The 3,714-nt window shown below is 53.1% G+C and overlaps 1 annotated feature.

Moving 5' to 3' along the window:
* Positions 1,708-2,208: an enhancer, noted in NCBI's record as "H3K4me1 hESC enhancer chr2:96420911-96421411 (GRCh37/hg19 assembly coordinates)". NCBI's record gives its function as "activates a minimal SCP1, AML or CMV promoter by ChIP-STARR-seq in primed H9 embryonic stem cells {active_cell/tissue: H9 hESC(primed)}" and the evidence as "EXISTENCE:reporter gene assay evidence [ECO:0000049][PMID:30033119]".

A 3,714-nucleotide genomic window follows, 5' to 3' on the forward strand; every position in this document is an offset into this window, starting at 1 on the left:
TCTCTGGATCTTCAGTCATGCAGTCGGAACTCTGGGAGATGTCCCCTGAGCCCGGGAAGCAGGATAGGTCAGGAGAAGGCCCTAAGGAAAGGCTTTGGATACTACCTGTGGCCACACTCTCCTACAGGCCAAGGAGAGACAGACAGAGAGGGGCTCTGGGCAGCCAGTGGCACTGAGCTCTCAGGGTCGAGGTCTGGGGCAATATCCAGGCCACACTTTCATTCTGTAATGGCCACATAATAGAGTGCAGAGTGCTGGCTAAAGAGTGGGTAGCTTCCCTGGTTCAAGGCCAGCCTCTGGCAGCTGCCACTTTTTTTTTAATTGAGCAGTGGCCAACCTGCACAACAGGCCCCTTACCACATGCCAACACTGGGTACAGCCTGTGTTGTAGGGGTCTTGGGAACTTGAATGTTGAATGCACCCCTTTGCTCTATCTCTCACTGGGGACCCCTTATTGGGCTGTCGTGGTTTGTGCTCCGTTCACTGGGCCAGCTCCTCCCTGCCCCCAGCCCAGGCTTGGCACTGCATCCGGAACTCAGATGGGGGACGGTAGCAGCTTTCAGGAAACTGCCCAGTGACAGGACTGGGCATCGTGCAGGGGGTGACTCATGTTCTAGTCTGCAGTTTTGACAGAATGCTTCTAAAAGTTTCGTGAGAAAAGGTGCAATAGAAGAAAGGATGTCTGCAAATGTCTTTAATGCATCCCCACATTTAGCCAAATGAGTGGCTGCCGTATTCAACGAGGTCTGAGCTGCAGACAGCTGTCTCTAGCGGGGCTGGTGGGTTGACCCCTTTGGCTTCCAGTTGCTAGGCAGCTCTCCTGACTTCGTGGATACCCCCCTCTCCTGTACTCACCACCTCTGCTGCAACATCCTGTCACTCAGGAACTCCAACAATCCAACCCCATCTCTACTAAAAACAAAAAACTAGCTGGGTGTGGTGGCAGACGCCTGCAATCCCAGCTACTTGGGAGGCTGAGTCAGCAGAATTGCCTGAACCTTGGAGGTGGAGGTTGCTGTGAGGTGAGATCGCGCCACTGCACTCTGGCCTGGGCAACAGCCTAAAACTCCATCTCAAAAAAGAAACTCCAGCAATCCTCACAAACAAACAAGATAACAGGCAAAGAACATGCTAACAAACGGCAGCTTTGATGACCAGGAAAGCACATGGAGCTCCCATTCCAGGAATGTAATTTAACTGGATGTGCCTCCTTGGGAAAAAAAGAACAAAAAAGAAACTCCTAGTAAGAAAAAAAGCCCGGCCCTGCTTCTGCCAAACTCAGCTCTGGCAGCAGCTGCTCCTGTTTGGAAAGACCTACATCCCAGGAATATAAATTTTTTATTGTGATTTTATTTTATTTGTTGATGCAGAGGGTTTTTATTTTATCTTTTGAACCAGTAGCAGCAGCGGGAGAGGGAGAAATGGGGGAGCTGCAAAGCTGGCTGGGGGTGTTCTCCCTCCTCTGCTGGGGGTGGAGATGACACCTGAGCCCCCTTCGCTGGGCTTGCTGGCCACGCAGGCTCCTGTCTCTGCCATGGCGTGGGGACTTGTGGTATTGGGAGGGAAAGAAGAAGTAAAGAGTGGGTGGGGGCAGAGGAGCAGGGGTGTCCAGGGGTGTTTGGCCCAGAGCAAACCCCTGGTGCTCCCACATTCCGGGTCCGTGTCATCTGCTAGGACAGGCACAGTGGGAGGGGTGTGCCCCCTGCCCATCCTTGGGGAGGTTCGAATGGACTAGATCCAGTCCAACCCCCCAGCTGCAGTGGAGGAAGCAGAGGCCAAGTCCCTGCGGAAGCTGCCCAGGACCCGCTGAGTGGCGATCTCAGGGTCAGACACCCTACATGCACCCAGGACTGAGGGTATGTGTGCTTCTCCTGTGCTGCCTGGGAAAGAAACAGGAAAGACCACGGGCGTCCACCCCCAGGGAAAAGGGTGAAGAAAGTGCGGGGCCCTGGCTGGGTCTCTCTGGGTGTGCAAGGAGAAGCCAAGGCGTCACAGGAACCCAGGAGGTGGGGAGGATGCAGAGCAGGACCTATTATTCCTATCATTAAGTATCGATTCTTCTTTATGAGAAAACAACAAATATCTGGTGCCTGAATATGAATATGAGTTTTAAAAGATCCAGAGGAGTACCCAAGAAATTGTTCATGATTATTAGGGAAAGGGAAACATTTTATCTTAGACATTTGGTATGGCTTGAAGTGTATTTTTTTCGGAGGGTGGCATGTATTATTTTTATTAAACGGTAGTAGCTGAAGTGGTTACCTCTAGAAACAGAGATTTGTTTTGTGGGAGGGTTAGGTGGTTAAGAGACATATTAGCACTGCCTGTAATACTTCAAGTTTTTCTAACAAAATGATATATTCTTGGACAATTTAAAAAATCTTTAAACTCTAATAAATAAACAAAAACAAAGCAACTCCTGGCTGCAGCCTGTGGCCTTTTCTCCCCTGCACACCCTGCCTGGGAGCTCAGGTCTTAGGAAGGCAAGCCCCTGCCTGCAGCTTGCCTTCCTAAAAGGCCTCACTGACTTCTCAGCATCTGTGTGCTGTGGCCAGGGCAGATCAGCACCTGGATCCCAGCTCCATGGGGCTCCAGGAAGGCTCAGAGGGCACAGCGCTTACTCAAACCTGCTGTCCGCTCTCAGAGGAGCAGGGTGGGAGCCCAGGAGCCTGGCCCAGCTCCCCAGCAATGTATGACACTCCTGGCACTGGTCCCGGCCCCCCAGACAGACAAAGCACCATCCTAGTCTCCAAAGTCCTCTAATCCCCGGTGGTTGTTTGCTTCCCAAAGGAGCCCTAGTGGACCCTGAGCCAGCAGTCCACACCTTTGCCCAGGGTGAGCTCCGACTCAGCTCTCTTGCTCCTTTCCCCTCACCCATGGCCCCTCTGGTTCCTGAGGCTGAGGGACATGGGCTTGTGAGGGGAGGGTTCTTGGGGGAGGCATCCCAGGCCCATTCCCGGTGCCAAACTCCCCTCCCTCTCCCCCCATTTCCCCATCCCCTCTGCTCCTCAGTGGCTGGCAGGTGGCATTGTTCAGCACCTGACAGCTCCCCACACTCCCACAGCTCCTGCCTCCTGCACTGTTGTGTCAATTTGGACAGCTGTCGTGCCAGCTCTGAAACACACCCAGTGTTTCCTACCCAATTCTGGAGGCCCCACTCTGCTCCAAGCAGCCTGGTGACCTTGGATGTCCTTTTTCCTGTCTGGGCCAGGGATCCCACCTGGGTTGAAGAGAGCAGGGACAGTGTGGTGCAGCAGGAGCCTATTCCCATACTGTGCACTCGCTGAGAGCTTGTTTCCCCTGGGACATGAGAGATGCACCACCTTCCTGCCCAGCTGGGCAAGAACATCAGGAGAGCCAAGGGTTACAGGAGGCCTGGAGGAAGCAGTGTTTTCAGTAATGCAATATGCAGCATTGACCAGCACTGCAGCATACCAGGTGCAATGCTAGGGGATAACAGATCATGGAGAAAGGGCTGCGGCACACAAGAGCTCACAGTGCAGCAGAGTGGCCAGCAGACAAGTGGCTGGAGAATGATGTGAGAAATTCCACAGTGAAGACATTTGAAGGCAGCAAGACAGGGCTTTGAGTTCTGCCTAGGGGAGCTCAGAAGCCTTTGCAGAGGTGGGGGAATTTGAGTTGGGCTTTAAAGGATGACTAGGAGTTCACCAATTTGAGGAGACTAGAGGGGTCTGGCAGCAGCCAAAGCAAAGA

This window comes from Homo sapiens, chromosome 2, assembly GCF_000001405.40.
Source record: "Homo sapiens chromosome 2, GRCh38.p14 Primary Assembly".
NCBI lineage: Eukaryota > Metazoa > Chordata > Mammalia > Primates > Hominidae > Homo > Homo sapiens.